The 22,742-nt window shown below is 45.7% G+C and overlaps 1 protein-coding gene across 5 annotated transcripts in view, besides 1 other annotated feature; it reads right to left on the reverse strand.

The window, feature by feature from the left end:
• The window catches only part of APBA1 (amyloid beta precursor protein binding family A member 1), a 245,482-nt gene that overhangs the window by 18,009 nt on the left and 204,731 nt on the right, over positions 1-22,742 (reverse strand). For 4 of the 5 annotated variants that reach the window (XM_011518617.3, NM_001163.4, XM_047423300.1 and 1 more), the window contains 6 exons: positions 22,283-22,428; positions 12,616-12,648; positions 11,513-11,599; positions 10,707-10,892; positions 6,582-6,761; positions 4,044-4,256 (listed from right to left, as the gene is read on the reverse strand). In XM_011518617.3, coding sequence (XP_011516919.1) covers positions 4,044-4,256; positions 6,582-6,761; positions 10,707-10,892; positions 11,513-11,599; positions 12,616-12,648; positions 22,283-22,428 — 845 coding nt within the window. The remainder of the gene's footprint in view (positions 1-4,043; positions 4,257-6,581; positions 6,762-10,706; positions 10,893-11,512; positions 11,600-12,615; positions 12,649-22,282; positions 22,429-22,742) is intronic. The other variant, XM_005251968.4, reaches the window with a different exon arrangement.
• Positions 20,849-22,048: an enhancer, noted in NCBI's record as "MED14-independent group 3 enhancer chr9:72081305-72082504 (GRCh37/hg19 assembly coordinates)". NCBI's record gives its function as "activates an origin of replication core promoter dependent on BRD2, BRD4, P300/CBP and CDK7 cofactors, and independent of MED14, by STARR-seq in HCT116 cells {active_cell/tissue: HCT116}" and the evidence as "EXISTENCE:reporter gene assay evidence [ECO:0000049][PMID:35650434]".

The raw sequence follows: 22,742 nt of genomic DNA on the forward strand, positions 1-22,742 counted from the left end.
ACGGGAGAGCAGAACCATGATGCTCCTGGGGAAGCAAGGGAAGCTGTGCGCTATTCTAAAACAGAGCAAAAACCCAGAGGGCAGGACCACAGAGGCAAAGGCACAGAAAGAGGCAGCCTGTAAAATGTTCCACCCACCAATAATTATGCCTTGGGAATTAATTATGACCCAAAAAATAAGGTAGGAAGAGTAAGGCAAGTCAATACCTATAATTCTACTCTAGAAATTGATTTCCTGTAACCTGGGGGGACAATAGTCAACCAGTATTGAAGTGGCCAGATGCAGAATGCACACTTTGGATCCCTGTTCCTGAAAGTGTAGCCTGCAGACTGGTGATGCCATCCCCGCCGCAAAGCCTGCCAAAAATGCAGAATTCCACCCTATACCTGCTGAATCAGACCTGCATTCTAACAAGATCCCCAGGTGATTCCAATCAGTTTGAGAAGCACTGATTCATCAGGATGAGAGTTGCTTGTCAAAGTCACTGCAAAGAGCATGGACATACACTGAAACAAATTTGAACACAGCCTTGAAGTGGTCCAGATGCTGCTCTGCAGTGGCCCGAGGGGTGGGGGTAGGGCAGTGTGCACATCTGTCCAGGTGCAGGCAAAAAGGGGTGTGTTTTCTAGAGAATTTTAAAAAGGTGATACGACCCACTGATGTCAGTCTGTATTTGGTACTGGTGATTCTGGCTGTTATCAGTGGTTACACCTCCCACCAGCCAGGGTGGTCCACGGACGGACCATCACATTTCCCCATTCAACAAGCGGCGCACTGTGGCAGGGAGGAAGTTCAGCTGTGCTCTAATCGGGGTCTGCCCTGCTAAGTACTTCTTCACTATGGGTGGCCACGAAAGCACTGCTTTTCTTTTCTTACTCTTCATCTTCATCAGTTACATCTCTTTTATCACCACTCGGCCTTTTAATTTTCTGGTTCTATAGAGATTACATTTATAGACATCAAAGTTCAGCTCCTCAAACAATCCATTTCCCCTTAGGAAACTGTGCAGACAGAGCTCCGTCTGTACTCCAGCAAGCTTTGCTTCCACCTTGATGCTGTGGCAGCTGCAGAGGGAGTCAGGCTGCCCTCATAGCCTCACTGCTTCCCTCCTCTGGTCCCCACGCAGATAAGGAAGGAGCGATTCGCAGGAGGGTGGGGACTCACTGGCCAGCTGGGGGCCCTGGGCAAGTCTCCTGTGCCTTTAGAGTCTCTGATGGCCCATCTGTGCACCTAGCATCTGCTGTCCCCCTTGTGGGCTGTCCTGAGGAGGAAAGGAGGTGACTCCAGGCCATGAGCTGGAGTCTTAAGGGCCTCAGGAAGCGCGGCTTGTTCCTGCCCAGGCCCCATCCCCACCTTTACTTAAGTCCTCCCCTTGTCTGAGTCTGTTCTTAGTCTGCCATGACAAAGTACCACAGACTAGGTGGCTTATAAACAACAGGCATTTATCCCTCACAGTTCTGGAGGCTGGAAGTCTGAGCTCAGCGTACCAGCACTGTCAGGTTCTGGCAAGAGCCCCTTCTGAGTTGCAGATGGCCAACTTCTAGCATCTTCACATACCAAAAGAGAGCTTGCTGGGGTCCCTTTTTTAAGGGCACTAATCCCAACCATGAGGGCTCCACCCTCCTGCTAATCACTTCCTAAAGGCTCCACCTCCAAATAACATCACATTGGGATTAGGGTTTCAATATGTATTTGGAGGGAACACAAATATTACTCAATACTTTACTTAACCCCCTATCCCCGCTCCTCCTCCCCAACCCTTCTAGACTCAGACCAACTCCCCACAAACCATCCCTAACCAGCTTCCCTCTCTCATCGATTTCTCTCTCTTGCATCTGAACTCCTATGCCGCTCAGGCAGTTTCTCAACCTCAGCACTACCTACATTTGGGGCTGGATAACTCTGTGCTGTGGGGCTGTCCTGTGCATTGTAGGATGTTTGACAGTATCCCTGGCCTCTACCCACTGGATGCTGGCAGCACCTTCTCCTCCGTGACAACCCAAACAGTCTCCATACATTTTGGGGGATGAAGATCACCCCTGGCTGAGAAGTACTGCCCCATGGTCTGGCCTTGGGCCTAGCATTTCACCTGACACCCTCCCTGGGATGACTCTGTATTGGAGGCTGTATGACCACAGACGATTACATCATCTTGCTGTGCCTCAGCTTCCTAGCTTGTACAATGGGTACAAAATAGTACCTGCCCACAGAATGCTGCCCCGAAGGCTCAGCAAGTCAGTCCACACATATTCTCAGAGCATCCAGAGCACAGACACACAGCACTGAGCACTGTGAGCCATAAGTCCTTTCACTTCTCCTCAAACCGACCAAGCTCCCTGGGGGGCAGGGACTGTGTCCACGGGGCCCCTGGGTCCCACAGCCCCTCAGCAGTTCTCATGCATGCACCCAAGGTGTTTAATAAGCAACTTGCTCACTGGCAGGAGCGACTTGTGGTCCTGCCTCCCTAGCCCCACCCCCCCGCTTGCCTCTCCATGCAATCACAGCAACACCAGACCAGCCGTTCCGGGCCAGGCTCAGACCCCATCTCTCCCTGACTCAACACCGGCCCCTGTCCATCAATTCAAGCAGAAACTTCCAAACGCCACTTCCCTTTCTGCTACCTACCTAGGTTTTATTCCTTCAAGGTCAACTTTAAAATCACATAAAATTGTCCATCTAATCACTTGTAGCCTCTCACCTTTATGTTGGCCGCAGAGCCCTTGCACGTCTCTAATTATCCTGCACATGCACACTGGCAAGCCAGCTTCCTCAGAGCGCAGCTCAGTGCCTCACAGAGGCCCAATTAAACCTTTCTGAATGAATATCCATGTTCAAAGTTGATTCTCTAATCTTACCTTTAACGTGTATTAAGCAAGAGGTAGAATTTATTTAAGTATAAGATATAAGAAAAAGAAATTAAAGGAGGCCAAAGAGGACTATTTCTTTCCAGATGTGATTATCTTATGTGAAATTAGAATTTACTCCATTTCATTAAAAACAAAAAGTCACCATCCATGTGTCCTATACACTCACCTTCACCTCCCACCCCCACCCCCTTAGCTGAGGAGGCTGGCTTTGTGATTTTTCTTTTGCTCACAATGACTATTTGCACGAATTAATCCCCTTCCTTCTCCCTCTCTCTCACACATGCACATACGCACACAGCTATGTTCCAGCTAAGTCTTTCAGGAAACCCCTACAGGACCCCAAAAAACGCTGTGGAATCTCAGTCTAGCTACAGTACCGCAGCACTTGGTGCAGAGCTACTGGGGTCTACAGATGCCATCATGGAGGAGGAACATCCTGGTCACACTGGCCATGCATTCAGCAAGTCCCAATGTGCTCAAAAAACTCCACATGAATGCTTCATGTCTAAAGAAAATCTCATTTCTTCTCAAGTATTCACATTTAATTTTCCTTTAAGTAGCTCTTCTTAGCTTTATAAGCATCAGTTCAGGTTGAGCAGGAAGTATGCTCAGGTATGAAAAAGCTTCCATGGACTGGAAGAGAGTTTCCTCCTCCTTCTGGCAATGAGCACATGTGAGTTGCTTTACCCGGGGTCTGAGGGAGGACAAACTCACCTGCATCATAGTCAGGGCCACTGGGAAGGAAAAAGCACTCTCAGATTTGAAGCATTTCTGACATTTTTGACAGGGATGGTAAATCATGCCAAGTGTATCTGGCTGACTATAAGTGACTGTCTGGATTCCCAAGCTGAGGCCATTTCTGTTGAGGCTGAGTCTGGGCTTAGTGGGAGAATGCTGTGATTGACTAGTGATGCTGTGATGGACATGCTGCTATCAGAAAGTAGTGTCATGTGAACCAAATACACTTCCCCTAATCTAAATTGATTTCAGGGAAGAATCTGTAAACAGTAACTTGATGGTAAGCTTCCTGAGTGCAAGTCCACGCCTTTTGTGTTTGTGTCTTCCTTGGTGCCTGACACTTTGAATATGTTCATATACATTAATGACTGGATGGGGGTCACACTTCACATCACTTGAGGTTTACCACATCAACTGATTTTTCCCATATTCAGGTACCTTAATAATGCTCTGGCAGGTGGACAGAGGCAGGCCCACCAGGCTGGTGCCATTAATGGACATGATCTGGTCACCGATATTCAGCTTCCCAGATTTCTCCGCAGGGCCACCATGCATCATGTTGGCAATGATCACGGTGGGGAGGATGGATCCCCAGCCAGACTCCACAATCACCACACCTAGGATTTCTCCTTTCTGCTTCTCTATGAAAACCTGGAAGGAGAAAAACATTTAGAAAACCTCCATCAGTGACCATCTGGGGTAGGTAGAAATGAAAGCCTCTCCCCCATTCCTGTCTTGCCTAAAGAAAGACACTTCCCTGGGGACACCAACCCAGATGAGTTCCTGTCTTCTCAGCATTCCGCATATTTGGAGTTTTTAAGAAATGAATTCACACAGGTCTACACTCTTTTGTAATTCACTCGTTTCACATAAGCAAACTTGCCTCAGCACACAACCATGAGGACCACCAGTTTTTTTTTTTTTTTTTTTTTTTTTTAATTTCTTCAGTCCTGTCCTCAGTGGCAGGGGATGAGGCTCTGTGGGTGGGTGGTGTGTTATGGTTTCTAGAAATAGCTTTTCAAATTCCATGCGCAGGTTCCCCCTCCCACAGTGCTTCCCCAATTCGCTCCGACATTTAATTTTCTTGAGTTAAAAATAAATAAACACACAGAAACACTTCTCTGCAAGGAAAAAGTTGAGAAAAAAGAAAAAGTGATGCTGAAGTTATCACAACCAAAAGGCTGGGTGTGCACACAGGAAGTGCATATCCTGGATACACAGACTTTTCACAACCTTCACTGGCAGGGCAGAGAAGACAGGGGTTGATGTTGGATACTTGCACTCTGGGGAGGCCTGCAGATATGCCACTAAAAGGTACCACACCTCTTGGAAGCACCCAACAGAGTGTGTATGTGTATTTTTGGGGGGCTTGACAAAGTCCCCTTCACAGGTTGGTGTCTGCTTCCCCCAGCTGCTGAAGCTTACAGTCAGCCCCTTCCCTGGAGAACTGTCCTTAGCTGAAAGGGAGACACATTCTGTTAAGGTTGAATTGTGTCCCCCCAAAATTTGTATGTTGAATTACCAACCCCCAGTGCCTTTGACTTAGATTGTGACTTTATTTGGAGATAAGGTCTTAGCAGAGGTAACCAATTTTAAATGAGGTGATTAATATGGACTCTAATCCAATATTACTCATGTCCTTATTTAAGAAGAGGAATGGTTGTCTGTCATGGGTATCAAAAAAAAAAAGAGGAAATTTGGACATAGGGACATGCATGGAGAAAGGCTGATGTGAAGACACAGCATGAAGACAGCCATCTACAAGCCAGAGAAAGGCTTGGAACAGATTCTTCTCTCACGGCTCTCAGAAGGAACCAATGCTAACAACACCTTGCTTTTGGACTTCTGGCCACAAGGTCTGTGAGACAATAGGTTTGTGTTGTTGAAGTCACCCAGTCCATGGTACTTTGTGACAACAGCCCTAGTAAATTCATATACCCCCTGTCCAGCCTTGGCCAATAACCGGCATGGGGTACAAAGGCTTGCCAGCTCCCTCGCTCCAAGGTGAGACAAATCTGTCCTGCAATATGTGCCATGGAGCTTCCCTCTGGACAGAAGGAAGCTCATGTCCAAGGGACCACACCCTTACTTGGTGTCCCACCACCAAGCTTCCCACATCCCTTCTGTTCTGAGGCACTCTCCCAACAAACCTCTGTGACAAGAATCCCTGCCTCAGGCTCTGCTTCTGGGGAATCTGACCTAAGACACCTGACAGACCCCAGTGGATCAAATGATCACTTTCTCATTAAAAGTTCTTTTTACCTATGGGATCAAGTCCAAACCCCTCAGCTGGACTTGCAGGCCCTCCAGTTCTGACCCAGATCTCAGGCCCATCTATCTCCTTTCCTGTGCCTACCTCCTGCTCTAGCCAAACCGTATTTCCTCATTCCCTAGACAAATGTGGAGCTTTCTGATCTCCAGGCTTCCAACCATTCCATAGACCCCACCCTCGGCTTGCCCCTACAATCCCCAGATCGCCAGACCAGCTTGGATAGCCTCATCTTCCTACAGGCATTCCTGAATAGCTCAGTTTGAAGCCACAGGCCATCCCCAGAGAAGCACAGCACCTCTTGTCTGAAACTTGAGATCTTCTCTGTTTGTCCAAGTGTAGTTGGTTTTGATTAGTGCCTGTACCTGGCACCATCATTTAACTTTTTCAGTGCCCTTACCTAGATTGCAGTGTTTGTACAAGCAGAGTTCAGGTCCTATCTGCCTCTGGGACCCACCCAAAACTTAGCTCAGGATGACCAGGAGCAGAGGATGTGCTGCCTCTCTGTTTACACCTGTCCACAATAGCATTTCATGACAGGGCCCCACAGCAGGGAGCGAGAGATGGGGGTGAACGACTTCATGATGTCCTGCCAATACGGCACTCCTCACCATTGATCTCCCTTCACTTCCGCGGCAGGGTGCCCCACTTTCCAAGCCCCTGCCCAGCTGACCCAGCCTGGAGAACAGCTTCAGGTAAGTACCCACATCTTTACAGTTTTCCGACTTGGAGAAGTGGATCAGGTCATCGTTGTACATGTCCTGGGTATTGAGCAGGTCACTATACTCCTTCTGGCTGAGATCTTCGGGGTTAATCCCATTGGCCCTGAGGAATTCCTGGTATGCCACGCTAAATGCCTGTCCGATGGACTGTGCAATCAGCTGAGCCTGGAACAGCAGCCAGAGAGGAAAGATGGTCAGCAGGGCAGTGCACCTGGTGAGCGGCCTGGCGCACTTCCCACCTGAACAATGGCCCTCCTGGAGTCTGAGGAAACCCTAGACATCACGCCTGCTGGGCCAGTGGTTCTACGTGGGGCTACCAGTGCCCACCAGGGGCAATTTTCAGAAAGACTGGGGATGTTTTTGATTATGACAATGATCATAAGGGAGCTACCGGCATTCAGCAGACAGGAGTCAGAGATGCTGAATATCCTGCCATGCAAAAAACAGCTCGATACAGTGATGAGTCATTCTATACCCTGCACCATCTTCACAGATCCCTCTGGACATTCATGTGCATGCAATACTTGTTTACAGTTACCTGAGTCCAGGATTCAACTCCAATTTATACATAAACACAAAGACTTTGTATGGCTCTAATACACATCGAACATTTCAAGAATAATACCGTCTGAATTGAGAGATGATGTTATTTTGCTTCATTCAGTACTTCACCAGGAGGAAACTTCATGACTTTGGAAAATCAACATCAGCGCTGCTGTGATATCTGTGTTGCCGATAAATCACATCCCTATCAACCTGCACGTGTGCTGTCATGCATGGTGATTATGCATGTGCTTGTAGATACATACATATTATTTGGCCCTCAATTTGAAATGTCAACTGGAAAGTTTATGATATCCCACTGCACACTGCGTTCTCCTACATCCAAGCTTAATCAAGTAGGCATAAGCATCTCACTATCTCATTATGCCTTTCAGAATGGTTGCGCCAGAGCATTTATTAATACATATTGTAATATGGTTTTATTTTAGTTTGCTTTCCACTTATCTTTCCTTTATATTATATTTATGGCCACAATTTGATTATTCTGTGAAAGATTTTTCAATAGGGGAGGTTATATTAGCTATGAATTTCATTTCAGGATAGTAATGGGTCATTAATAAGATATTTATTGTAGAAAGGGAGGGTTGGGTCTAACAGAGTTGAGAACTCTGACTGGTCCAACCCTGCATTTTCCAGTTGAGGAGATGGAGGCCCAGAGACACAAAGGAACCTCTCAAATTCACACAGCTTGCAGGAGGTGGCACTGGCTTCTACACTGGGTTTTGATAGCTTTTCCCTGCATTAATTAAGCAACATTATTAATCCAGACAGCCAAGAGCAACTGAGCACTTCTCATGTGGCTATGCTGCAGTAAATGCTATACAAGGTATATGCTATGAAAAGTAAATGCTATACAAGGACCATCACTGAATCTGCATATCGATTCTATGACAGCTATTAGTATGACTGGTCCACAATCCTTCACTTGGAATGCAAGAGGCTCTGCTTCAGAATTCAAAACTTTTCCAATTTTAGAAAGGTAGCAGGGTGCAAATACTGTACATTGTGCCATAACCCCCTGACGGTCTGGGGAAGTACACAGAGCACAGTAACATTTCTGTGGCAAAATCTGTAAGATTCATGGTAAGCTAGACAAATTCTATAAACGGCCTGCCAGCAGGCAAGGCAAGTTTATCAGCCACCTGACTTCAAAAATCCCTTTTGTTTCTCAGAGCTTTCTAGACTTTGGAACTATGGATCTGTATTAGTGTCCCCACTGGGTAGAACAGGATATGGAGGTTGAGGGGTTAAACTGCACACTTCCTGAGAAGGGGCTGGGGGCTGAATCCAGAGCCCATCCTCCTGCCCACCACACTGGAAGGCTTCTCTGTGAAATTCTGATGGGCAGAAAAAGCCAAACCAGAAAATCTCTAGAGCGGTGTTTTAAAAACACAATTCTAACCTCCACTGCTCTTTCCCCACCTTTCCTAAAAGCACCTTATTAACAGCAAAATGGGAACTTTCCGTGTGGCTGGCTATGGGAAAAGAAATACTTAACTTTTCTCACTGTTAGAATCTGATGACTTTACAAATCACATCAAGAACTACCACCATCTACCTATTGTAAAACTGGAAGGAGTAAGGCATTGCTTTTGGCATCAGAGAGGTACATGCAGACAAACTGAAAAATATATACCTGGGAATGTGACCAGTCGACTTCCTGATCATCATTAGTGGATGCCCCTGGTGAATACACTGGCTACTGAGATTTATGGACCACTAGCCATGTGCCACACATCAGGCTTTAACTGCAATATCTATGAGAGTGCCACAGCAGCCTGGTGAGGGAGGTACTATCGTCCTGCAGAAGAGGAACTTGAGGCTTAGTGGCTGCACAGCTTGGATGAGGAAGGACTCAAGCTCAGCTTGCCCAATTCTGGAGCCAGCACACTCTGGCCCTGCTCTAGTGAAAGCAAAGGGGTAAGATTCTCAGGTCCACTCTTGCCTACCTCTTGCTTCTCCAATCTTTCCTTTCTTCCCTGATGGATCCAAGGGTACCCCAAGGAGAAGAAACCCCTCCCTATGAGCTCCAGCCAGATGGAGGTAGCAGCGGGGCCTACAGGGATCCTCGATCCCTGTAACTTCATCTTTTCGCTGGCCTGCAGGACACAGGAGGCTTAAAAGTCCAAATTTTCACTCTTTTGGAACTTTCTGAGAACCTCCTAAAACTCATTTTCCCCGTTTGCATGTTGGCCTCAGCTTTACAGGAACAGTAGGGAGAATGGCAGGCAGAGGTATTTCAAGCTCTCTGTTCTCCCAGTGACCTTGTCCTGTGCTGCTTTCTAGAGAACAAGACCAATAAAAGATGGTGACAGTAAGTGTTGGCATCTCCTCCTCTCTGTGCCCACAGCCACGACAGCTCTGGTTCCCCGGAGAAAAAAGCAGGATGGCTGCTGACACCTAACTTCCGAGAGGAAGGCAATTTCTGCAGCTAGACGAATGCTGTACTGGAGAAGAAGGGCCTCTTTGAAGGAACCAAGGCTATCAGACGCCATCTTCTCTTCCCAGATCAGGACTCCGTGCTCCATGTGAGAAACAGAGCCTATTCCTCTGTGTCAGGAGGAAAAATGAGCACAGTCAAAAGCAATGGCCCTCAGGGGGTGGGTGAGTTTTCTGCTATTAAAAATTACTATAGGGCTGTGGCCTCCCCTGGGAGGCGGCTTCTGAGGACTGCTGAGGCCCAGGATGGTGCGGGGAGGTAGGGGAGCACCTGGGAGCAGCTTAGTTCAGGCTGCAGTTTGCAGCCTGGTGGCCTCACTAGCAGCTTGGGTTACAACCCTGAAAGTAGGCCAAATGACAGAATGGCTTCTGTTGTAAACAAATTTTCTCTGTTGACTGCATCACCCAGAGAAATGGAGCTTAGGAACCACTGGCTTTGTGCCAGGAAAAGGAGCTGGTTTTCCTAAGGACTGGGGTGGGCAGTGCTCCTGCTGTTTGCTGGGGAGGGACAGGGATGCTAACTTTCCTGTAGCCCAGAGGATGGTCCTGGACCACAAAGAACTGTCCTCCCAAAATGCCCTCATGCTTGGACAGACCTGCTCAAACCCCTACAGGAGGTGCCAAATTCTTCCTACTCTTCACCTCATCCCAAAGTCGCTAATAGCTTGGCCTCCTTTCCCTTCCTCAAAGGGAAACGCAGCTAGCCCCTGCCTCAGGGCCTTCGCATTTGCTCCTTCCTCTTTCTCACTTTATTCAGGTCTCTGCTCCAAGGTCACCTCCTCAAGTGAGGGCTTTGTTGATCACCCTACCTGACATAGCCCCTGTCCCTCCATCCCCTGACCCTGTTTTATTTGTCTGTGGAGCACTCCCCACTACCCAATTTTACATTAAGTATATTTACCTATTGATTTTCTGCCTCCTTTCAGCCCTTGCGATGAGTACCCTGTCTGTTTTACTCAGCCTTATATCTCTAGTGCTGGAACAGTGCCTGACACACAGTACGTGCACAATAAATACATGCATCATGTGTGATGAATTAGACTGAATCAGGTTCTGAGAAGTCAAGAGAACCTAACCCAAAAGGAGATCAAAGGAAGCAACCCTTACATCCTCAGACTCGAAGACGTGGCAGATCATCTTGTACTGCCTTTTCCCATCCTGGGATGGGTGGGACGCTTCCACGTTCTCCTGGGAGTTGGAGCGAGGCATCCGCCGGCGGGCCATCAGCACAACGATGTTCCCAATGTCCGCAATGTAGGAAATGGTCCTCAGAGGGTGGTCCATCATTGTCTCCTGGAGGCAGGAAGAGAGGGCGGGTAAGTCCAGCTCAGCATCTAATGACCTAAGAAAGCGCCTGCCACCTTACAGCCAGTCAAGTATGGTTCGCATGCAGGGTGGGCTCCAGGGCTCACTGCAAAGCCCATGCTGAGGGATCAACGGATACCCACCCAGGCCGGAGGGCATTTCCCTTAGCTAATCAAGAGCAGGAAATGATCTGTGGCAGGTGAAAAGAAATAAGAAATTCCAAACAGTTGAATCTCTTGTGGAGAAGTTTAAAAAAAAAAAAGACAAATCAAAATGGCAGGGCTGTTTCTGTTTTTGTGTGCGTGAATGTAAGAGATTTTAAATAAAATTTCTTAAAAGACAAATTTGTTCACATTAATGAATTCTCTGATTAAAATTTCTGAAAATGCTAAACGTCATCCATGTCTTAGGGGTGTTTTTGGGCTTTAAGAAAGCAATCCCAAACCCCACCCAGCAGCAGGCACTGTGAACACCACCTTCTAGCTCACTGGGGCCCAGAATCTAGGGACAGCTGCTCTACAGACACATGCCTGCTCTACAGACACATGCATCTCTGAGTTACGATGTCACTAAGCTTCACCCTGGGAAAGGTGGAAGCCAGCTGATACCTGTGTGTCGGCGTTCAGCACTTTGATTCTCTGGGTAGAAATGAAGAGATCCACTTCAGTCATTGGCTGAGATTCGCCTTCAGGAGCCTGAGAAGAAAAAATGCACCAAGAGAAAGTTTGACCACACTACCCTGACCCAGATGCAGAAGGAGTAAGGTTAGCTCACACAGAGGCACCACGACACAGTCACCAGAACAGCAATACAGACTCTAGGGTTAAACTGCCAAAGCTGAAGTTACCACACAGAGGATGGACACATGGACAAGAGTTAGCACCTCTAGGTTACAGGGAAAAATGCGGAATCCCCTTTTCTTCTTCCCCTATAGAAGCAGTAACTCACTGCAGTAGATTTCACTCTTTGAACGATGATGGCAAGTGGCCCTCTCTGTAAGGGTTTTGGAGCCCAACAGATTGAAGAAATAGGCCAAAAAGCTCATACCAAAAGACCTTGGGGAAGTCACTTAGAATTTGCCTCTGCTTGAGCTGATAGGAGACAATGTTTATAGCAGCTGCAAATGAAGCCATTTGGATGCAGTTCTGGTAAGAGGGTCTTTATGTTTACATATCACCCAGCAACACAGAAGCAGTCCTGAAGCCACCCCATTAAGAAAGAGCCCCAATGCCTCAACGTCCCAGGAGTAGTAGCTCATAAGCACCTAGAAGCTCCACAACCAAAAAGCGCAGTCTGGTTCATTTAGGGCTTAACTCTGTACATGTGTGGTTATTAGCGAGTTTTCTTTTTTGCATCCAGCAATCTGACAAATCCACAAATCAAGCATAACTATAATCAAACAGACTCAAGTCCCTGCCACATCGATGCTCCTGAATGTTTGGAACTTCCATACTACTATACGATTCATTCAGCGTCTCCAATCTGCTCCCTGTCGTTCCTCTGAAGTGAAATGACTAATGAGCAACAGAAAACGGCCACCTTCGGCAACTGAGTTTTGAGAAACGCTGGCTTATGGGGCGGTTCAAAAAGAAATCTGAACAAAAACTTGCTGGATGCAGAAAACAAAAACACGAAAATATAAAAAGGTAAAACAGAAACGAATGAAAAGAACAGGCATAACACCAAGCTGATGAAGTTGTTTGTACTGCACCTTCTTCCTGCTTTTGGCTAATTTCTGGGCCATCTGCTTAGCATGGAACAAACAGAGACAGGAGAATAGTTAGAAAGAATGTGTAGAGACTCAAAGTCAAAAAGGGAATTGACAAACTAATACTGAATAGTGGCATAAAGCGTTTCTGTGGGAGGAGGACTGGCTTTTAAAAATCCCAGTCTAAAGATAATCAATGTCGTAATTCAGAATTTAGTATGTGGGAAGTGGTGAAGTGAGACAAAGGAAATGTGTTGCAGTGCTTCTTATACTTAATTGCAAGTGATCTTTCCAAATAACCAAGTTTTGGTTCTGTTAATTTTCTTTATTGTACGCCTGGTTTTCTATTTCACTGATTTCAGCATAGATCTTTATTTCCTTCTACTTTCTTTGGGTTTAATTTGCTGACTTCTCAGCTTCCTGAGATAAAAACTTAAATTATGGCTTTTCAAACTTTATTCTGATATGCAAAGCTATGAATCTCCCTCTAAGCATTGCTTTGGATGTATTCCACAGATTTTTGTGTTTCAATTTAATCATTGTTCCGTTAAATTTTTTTTCAAATTTCCACTGCAATTTCTTAGAACCTTGGATTATTTGGAATTGTATTATTAATTTTGATACATTTGGGGATTTTCTAGTTATCTTTTCTTTTCTTTTTTTTTTTTTCTGAGATGGAGTTTTGCTCTTGTTGCCCAGGCTGGAGTGCAATGGCATGATCTTGGCTCACCGCAACCTCTGCCTCCCAGGATCAAGAGATTCTCCTGCCTCAGCCTCCCGAGTAGCTGGGATTATAGGCATGCGCCACCACGCCTGGCTAGTTTTTGTATTTTTTAGTAGAGATGGGGTTTCTCCATGTTGGCCAGCCTGGTCTCAAATGATCTCAGGTGATCCATCTGCCTCAGCCTCCCAAAGTGCTGGGATTACAGGCGCGAGCCACCGCGCCTGGCCTCTAGTTATCTTTTTCTGCTGATTTTGGAATTAATTCCACTGTGGTCAGAGAACACAGTCTGTATGTCAATCTTTTGAAATATGCTGAGGCTTAGCTCTATGGTCCAGCACATGACTGCCTTTGGTGGATGTGTCATGTGCACTTCAAAATATGCATTCCGTAGTTGTTAGGGACAGTGTTCAATCAATGACAATTAGGTCAATTAAGGTGGTTAACAGTATTGTTCAAACCTTCTATATACTTGCTGGTTCTTTAATCTCTTGTTCCATCATTTATTGAGTGTGTTAAAACCTCCAGCTGTTATGTGGATTTGTCTGTGTATCCTGATTCTGTCAATCTTTATCTTACAGCTATGTTATAAGGTGCACACACAGGTAGGATGGTATACCTGCTTGGTAAATTGATCCTTTCATTGTTCTCCCTTTTTATCTCCAGTAATACTTCTTGCCTTAAATTTATGTAATATTAATGTAGTTTACACCTAACTAAAAATGGATGTACCATTCTCCCTTTTGCTCACAATTAAAAGACAGCATAGTTGATAAAAGCAGAGCGTGGGGCTGGATTGTCTAAAACCAAGTCCTGGCTCTGCCACTTACTAGCTGTGCAACTTTGAGGCAAGCCACTGAACATCTCTGTGCCTCAGTTTCTTCATCTGTAAAGTGAAGATAAAAATAGTATCTACCTCACAGGGATATTTTGAGGACAAAATGAATACATGCAAAGCTCTTCAAACAGTGCCTCATACATTCTAAGCACTATATTTGTGTTTGCTGTTATATGATTATAATTGACCTAGGTCATGATGCAATTTCTTGCCTTTTGCTAAGACTTGCTATTTATACAGATCTTGTACAAATAATGGCAAGTCAATGGCCAAACTGCAGACGCTATTGTGGTAATGGGATTGGGGTGGAGGAAGAACTGCTCTCTCATATTCCTGGGTACTCACCTGGTAGAAAAGCTCCTCTGCTCTCAGCAGCACATCTCTGTTTCATTAGTGACTAAAATATGTTGCCTATACTACCTCATTGTAGAGAAACTGGATAAGTCAGCCATCCAGACACCACATAGCGAATCTCTGGTACACCCGGGAAACCAGGGCAACCACACTCCCACACAGATGCCCTGCTGTTCTTACTGGTCGCCATGAGTTCACAGTGAATAGTCTGCTCTGAAAAAGTTTGAAGGTAGCAACTCTGTCATCCTGACTGCTGCACATTACAGTGGGAATAGTTCTGCATCTGAGAAGTGACCCTATGCTGATGTTATGCCATGCCACACCACGAGGATTCCCGTGTGGAACCCCAGAGTCTGGCCAGGGATGTTCGGACTGGCATCAGTTATAATCTGCATAACTGACAGCTGGGAGATCTTTAATGTTTGTTTTTTACTTCTCCTGAAATGATATGGCAGTAATATAGGAATTTCCATTACTTTGGATCCCAAACCCTAACAGCTGTTGGTCAAAATTCTTCAACTCTAGGGAACCGATTTGAAATAACTCTTTCAAAAGGAAATAGGTTCCACCATCACTGGAGTACCCAAATTCTTTTTTTTTTTTTTCTGGGACTGGTGTTGAGGAAGAGGATCCAAAAGGCAAACTGAGTTTCATGAAAGGTATTCTGAAACTTTTTTTTTTTGAGACAGAGTCTCGCTCTATCACCCAGGCTAGAGTGCAGTGGTGCCAACTCAGCTTACTGCAACCTCCGCCTCCCAGGTTCAAGCAATTCTCGTGCCTCAGCCTCCTGAGCAGCTGGGATTACAGGCATGTGCCACCACACCCAGCTAATTTTTGTATTTTTCAGTAGCGACGGGGTTTCACCATGTTGACCAGGCTGATTTCAAACTCCTGACCTCAGGTCATCCACCCGCCTTGGCCTCCCATAGTGCTGGGAGTACAGGCGTGAGCCACTGTGCCTGGCCCGAAACAGTTTTTATGAAGTTAAAAATATTCTGTGGATTTAGAGTAATACCATCTTTAAATCACTCATGATATCCAAGTACCCTGCAACAAATTATAATTTAAAATTTAAATATAACATCACAGAAGATGGGAGAGTTGGAGCCAGAATGAGAAATTAGGGTAGCAGAAAGGGGTCCAAGAGAAACATAAGGCCAGCATGCATTTTAAAGCCAGGAATGACAACATCTATTTAAACCCTCGTGTTTCATGGGATTGATCATGGTTTACCACGTGGCGGGGTGTAGTGCAAAGGACAAACTGCAGCACCCCCCACCCCCTTACTCCATCCACAATGTGTACTGAGTTTCTGCCGCTGTTAACACACTCTAGATTAGTCGTGCCAGGGATGCTCCTGACTGTTCTATCTTTTCTCTCCCCACTGACATTTACTGAGAACTTGCTATGTGCCAGAATCCTTCAAAGTATTTCACATAAATCAGTGTAAAAGCTTACAACACCCCTGTGAGCTACTACCCTGCTAGATGGTAAGCCATGATCAATCCCATGAAACACGAGGTTTAAGTAGATGTTGTCATTTCTGCCTATATTATGTTATCCTCATTTTTCAGAAGAGGGAAATGTGGCACAGAGAGGCTAATTAACTTGCCCCAGGTCACACAGCTGTGAAGTGGCAGAATAGAGATTCAAACTCTGGCAATCTCACTCCATTGTAAACCCCTAGTTGTGCAACTGGGGCAAGCATGTCATCTGTAAACTTCTCCATTTGTCTATACCATGGGGTTAACAACACCTACCTCACAATGTTCTCTACCCCATCCATTTTGAGGAGTAAATGAGATTGAGATAATGCATGTGAAGGGCCTAATACTTTACTGATCATAGATTTCTTCAACTAAGCTGGGAAATGCTACAACTTAGGCAAAGCTATAATGATAGACATTTTACTTCTACAATGAAATCATAATTTTGAGAAAATCATAAAAGAATGAAAAAAATCTGATCTTTGGGACAGGCTAGTTAAGATGAATATATGAATATTTGATAATGAATGCAGCTTGCCAAAATGCATGGACCACAAGATACCTATACACCATTTGTAATCTAATCTAATTGCATTAGCTTCACAAATACAGGAAGAATGGAGACACAAACACCACACTCTGGGTGGATGGACATGAAGCAGTCTCTGTGGTTCAGGTAGGGCTCAGCAGGCCACCCTATCTTCTGGTTGAAGAGCAGAGAATGAAGTGGGAATGAGAGTGGAAGGCAAGGTGGAGATGCAGTGGAGAACAAGGAAGACAAATGAGCTCATTGTGCTGGCTTCCAGTCTGGCTTTCTCTAGAAAGGGGTAGGCATGAGTCCCACGTTGTTAGGGGAGAGATGTGTTTCTATCTACGGCACATTAAAGACTGACAGCACATAGGACAAAGCTCTCTCTAGAAGTTTCTCCCAAAACATGTTCCAGAGAATACTACCAATGACAGGTATCTATCACATGGTAACAATGTATTCTGTGCTCAAATAAGTATGGGAGCTGCTAGTTAAAGTGAATGAAATCTTCTTAGTGCAGGACTTCTCAGAGCCTTGAAGAGGAAGACACCTGTAGCAAATGTCCGAAAAGGAGGTCTATTTTCTTGAGCTTATTTGCCAGTGGAACTCTATTAATGACAAGCACTTAGCCTGACTAGAATGCTACAGGGCACAGTGGGAGGAAAGATGCTTCACACACTGGCGGGTCCACCTTTCTCTAAGGCAGTGGTTCCCAAACGCTGGTGCAGAGCAGAATCTCCTGGAGGGTTTGTTAAAACACAGACTCCTGGGTGCCACCTTCTGAGTTTCTGACTCAGTAGGTTTGGGGTTGGGCCTGAAAACCTGTACTTCTAAGAAGTTTGTAGGCAATGCTGATGCTACTGGTCCAGGGATCATGCTTTGAGAACCAGGGCTCTAATGCAATCCCCTAAGGTATATGGGGGCTCTCTGGAAGGATATTACTTCTCAAAAATGATGACCAACAAAGGCAGAATGAACACATTAGGGAGGGACCAAAGACCAAAACAAAACAAAAAAATGTTTAATGACAGATGTCTTCTAATTCTGCTATTGTGCTCAGATATGTCATCTCTTAAATTGTGGTAGATGGAAAAGCCTTTAAATTTCAGAGCCCTCAGCTTACCTTGTATTTTTGTTACCTAACATTCTTTTTGGCTTGTTTTTACTGCAAGTTTCTCAAGCTCAAGAACTGTGTATTGGTTAAATTTATTCCTAAAGGGCCTATCACAGGAGTCTGCACAGCAACAGTTGGCATTTGGGGCCAAATTCCTTTGTTTCTTTTCACATTAAGTAGAAAATACCTGGCCAAACCGCAGCTCCAAATTCTCTCTCCATGTGGCAAAGGAATCTTGTAAATTTTTTGTTAAATTAAGAAAACAGTAATTTTCAAAACCCCAAGTCCAAATCCAATAAGCAATGTTCAATTTTAGTATACAGTTGGTACTACATGAGTGGCGGACACCACAATCGACAAATGGAAGAGAAATTAAAGACTACTTTGAAATGGAAACCTAAGCTTCAAGGTCAGCGTCTGTTCAGAGATAAAGCACCACGAATAACAGGGCGCGTGGTGAGCAGTTCTCATTCACATCCAGTCACATCCATCTGGTCAAACAAACAATGTAGGCAGAGGAAGAGAGGGACAAAACGGGGGTCCCTGCAGGGAGTGAGGGAAGAAGGAGGAATCAGAAAACAAAGGAGGAAACTACCCCCACCTTTGTTTAGGTGAAAGTGCCAAGCCAGAAATTACTAATCAGATTGGGGTTAAGGACATTGCTAAATGGATTGCAAAATAAATCCACAGAGCTTTTCTTTCTCCTTCCTTCCTGGACGGACGCTATAAAGTCTGCAGCTTTGCTGTGCTCTACGTCCTTTCTGTCAAGGTGGCCTAGAATAACTTGTCCTGAAAGGTCAGTCTCTCTTTAGGAAACAGCGTGGCACCATCTTCCTTACAGAGCAGTGTCTCCCAAGCACATGTGGGCACCTGGTGCAAGCTCCTTCCACTTGAGCCCAGCCCAGCCTGCTCAGGATCAGCACTCTTTGCCCCCAGCTTCCCTTTGCATTGATGAAGTCCGTGTACGCTCCCTGACACAGTCACTTTTTGGAGAGTGCTGACTTAAACAGGCATCTCCATTTACACTTGGAAAAGGCTTCTAGCTGGATATAACGTCAACCAATCTGATAAGCATTTTAATGGATGTAAAAGGAACATGAAACAGAAAATATTTAATGACAGGCAACAGTTCCTTCCAATGCATAGATGCACATTGTAAAATGATACTTATAAGTTATAAATGAAATGTAACCATTTAATTTTACCACTCTATAATGAATTCCTCACGCCAGAGTAATTTGCTTGTAAAAATAAATCTATGTTTTCCAAATGCCTATTCTGCTCTAGGCAGGTCTAAAATGTATTTATAATCAGAAAGCCTCTATCTTGGTTGTTCTGATCAACAGAGCCATCTAATTTTTGATTCAAATGAACTGTGGAACTTCGGGATACCAATCCTTTGGAAGCTTTGAAGTAAAATCTCTGATTTCTTATGAGGCAGCTGGACTTTAAAGAAGGAATAACAACTCTATAGGACACCACTTTGGAAATAAGAAAATGTAATTCACAATATAATTGGCACTGACGAGCTTTGGTACAGGGATGCTGTGTACCCCGAACATTGCTTTACGTTCAAGTGATGTGCCCCGTGCCCGCTTTTTCCCTGTAAGGCCATCTCAGCACTACCTAAGTGCCATAAGGGGACTGGAAAGGCATAAATGTTCTGTCTGTAGGAGTCCAAAGCTATCAGAGGGCTAATAAACAAGGTGTCCCAAATGAAACCTGAACCTTAAAATGTTTGAAGCCTTGATGGATAGAACCTAGAAAAAACTAACCTCAAGGCAACGTGCAGTTTTCAACCTCAGAAGTCTTCAGTACTCCTTTGGGGGCAGACTGCTGCTTTATTCTGGAAGATACGCCTGAACGGGCTCTGGGTAGCATTCCTTGATAGGGGCTCTTTGGCATTTTGGTAGAGATAAAATCTTTGTTTTGTGGCTCTGCCCTGGATGTTATAGGGTCTTGAGCACACCTGGCTCTGGCCCAGAAAATGCCCCCAGTCATGGTGACAAGCAGAGGTGCCCCCACTCATTTCCAAACACATCTTATGAAGGCAGTCCCTGTCTATCAGAGACCCCAAGTGAGGCACACCAGGCTTTTGTGCTTCCACCAAACCTGGGGAAGCTAACAGCACCATTCACCTGGAAGCCCAGGTGGCATATCTGGTACCCATGGGGCACGTGGAGTCAGAACTATGTCTCTATGTCTCTTTGATTTAAAGTTCTCTGCTTTATACAAAATAGGACGTGACTTTGCCTGAGAAGCAGCTTGCTCTCTCTGAGAGGTTTGTGGGTTGTTGTTTTGAATGCTGTGCCTGGAAGACAACTAAATTAAGATGGAGAAGACCTTGGGGAGGCTTGCTGGCACAATGTCACTACTTCGTGGAAACAGGAAGACAGTGAAAGGGAACTAGGCCAAGCTTGGATGGGCAGCTCCCCAAGAACATGGTGATGTTCTATCCGTAGCATTGTTTAGTCTCAAAGTCCCAAAAGGTATGAAGGTCAGACTGTCTCCACGGAGTTGTCCTGTTGGGAGCCATGGGGCAAGACACATCTCTTTGGGTAGGGGGTGGGGCTTCCCCTAAAAGAACTGGACCTTCCCACTGTCCATCATTCTGGGAGAGGCTAATTTTAGAAGAAGACAAACACCACAGAAATGGGCCTTATGGCAGCAGGGCCTCTGAGGCACAGGCAAGGTTTGTGTGCCCCAGATGAAGTGGCTGAGTGGATCCCTGACACACGGAAGGAACTAAAAGGTCCTGTCAGTAATCCTGACACTAGGTCTGGCCTAGCAGGGTTGTGACAACAGTCACTCTTGAGGCAGTTGCAAATCACTCCTCCCTGGTTTATAAAAACATCGTAGTCATGTCAAAAGTTACGGCATGGGCTTTACTGTCCTAGGAGGAGTTAAGAGAAGGGCCAGCTCTGAGCTTGGGGGAGAAGCATTTTCTCCAAGTACAGAGAGGTGGTCAGATCAGTGGGTGACACACAGAGGCCCAGCAGCAGGAGCGGCAGTGAGCAGCCTGAGGAGGAAGCCATGAGAGGGACGTGGGGCCATTCACACAGCATCCTGGGAACTGCAGGATAACTGGACAGCTGAGGGTTCAGGCGCATCATATTTACGGTGTTGGTGATGGTATGAGCTATTCACCACATGGCAGAGTCTGGACACGTGACTAACGTAAGAATCAGCTTGGGCATGAGGCCCAAACCAACTGCCTCTCCTCTGCAAGCACCTCTTGGAATTGTTGGTCACTTACTGTTCCTTTCTACCTCTCAGGCAGAAGGCAGTGGTCAGAGGTGTTCGCATCTGCAGGCTTCCCCTGCACTCTGGTGGCACTCGGCCTCTGACACTGTCCTCTCCTTGGGCACACCCCACACACTCCCTGGCTTGCTTTGTCATTCCCTCATTCATACTGCTGAGCTTGAGAACAAGGATCTCACTTTATCAGCTACTGTTTTTCCTCCCTGCCAAGACCCTGCACAGCTCTTCATGCCTAAGTGCTCAAGGAATAATTTTTTCTTTGATTGCGAGATCAAGGATTCTCAGTTACTGCGGTCTACCTGTCCCTCTTTCTCCTTCCACGTTACCACACAAACACCAGGGTGCAACCTGGGAGTGTGTGAGAGAGAAGGTATGAAATATGGAATGGCTCCTTGAGGGAAGAATCCATTTTGACCAGTTGAAACTGGATAAAACAGACTCTTACAAGTTCTAACCTATTCCAACTTGCTGGAAATACCTGGTCCTGGACTTCTACCATGATGCTGTCCCTAGGGCTCTAGGTGACAGTGGCCTCAAGGCTCGGGGAGGCTGCCCAGTGGTTCCAGGTGCTGGTGGCACAATGGCATGTGGATGACATAAACACACCTTAAGTGTTCCTGGAGTCCTGGTTTGCCCATGATTCTAGGTAGTTTTGGTATCGTGGTGGAGATTCTAGAGCTCTGTGTTGCTGCATTTATTCATGGGAATAAACCAGTTCTGGATGGTTCAAACTAGTTGTGAATGACTTAAACCAGATAAGAGTGGTTCCTCCTGGATCAAACAGGCTCGTTCCTTTTATGTCTTGATTAATGAGATTCAAACATGTTATGATTGGCTCAAACTAGTTTAAACTGGATTAGCCTTGCACTGACCTTAGACTAGCCAGGTTAGATTTGATCAAAGGGTTCATTTTCCTTGAAGCAAGCAAGTTCAATCTAGCTTGAACAGGATGGGCTGGTTCAAAAGCAATGCCACCTAGTTTAAACCAACTCTGTAACATGAATGTTTGCCACTGACCTCCAGCTGTCAGTGGAAATCCAGTGGTACATGTCTTGCACTTGAGACATAATACTCAAAACGGCATCCTTCCTCATTACACCAACTTTTCAAAGGTTGTGATCATGAGCACTTCTTCTCAAGACTGGCCATTTATAACAACCTAAATAGATCATGTTTGTATATAAAGACTCCAGTAGATTTTGGAAATTTTTGTTTTGTTAGCAGGCACATGGATAAGCACTGCCTGTGTGATGTCATCTCAAACCACTCTCCTCTAAACTATATGTGGAGTTGTGGCCAGTGTTGTAGACTGCTCCAGTGCCTACACCAGCCCCCTGTCCCTGTTGGAGCACCCAGATGTCCTCACCTTGATCCTGCTTACGGCTTCCTGGGCCTGCATCATGCGCACGTTTTTGGAAGGAGTTTTGTCTGAGAGCAGCTGAGTGGAGCCAAGGTAATTGGCGGCAAAAATGATTCCATCGATCAAGTCTTCGGGGTCGCAGGGTCCCGGAACTGTAACACATAGAGCCACAGTGAGGAAGCCATCCTGGGGTGGGGCCTGCCAACCCCCTCAATGGCACATCTCCCCTCTCCCATGCCTCACTGCTGGCACAGGTGAGGCAGAGCCAACCTGCTGGTCTGAGGCATCTCTCTGTGTCTATCTGCACCCACACCTCATTTTCAAATAGAAGGCACAGTTTCTAAAATATTTTGCTTCTCTAAAACCATTTACTATGGAAAGTGATGCAAATATTTACTTAAACATGGAACATAAAATTCAGCAATAAAGGATACTGTTTCTCCTGTTAGACTGTGAGCTCTTAGGG

This window comes from Homo sapiens, chromosome 9 (genome assembly GCF_000001405.40).
Source record: "Homo sapiens chromosome 9, GRCh38.p14 Primary Assembly".
Classification (NCBI taxonomy): Eukaryota; Metazoa; Chordata; class Mammalia; order Primates; family Hominidae; genus Homo; species Homo sapiens.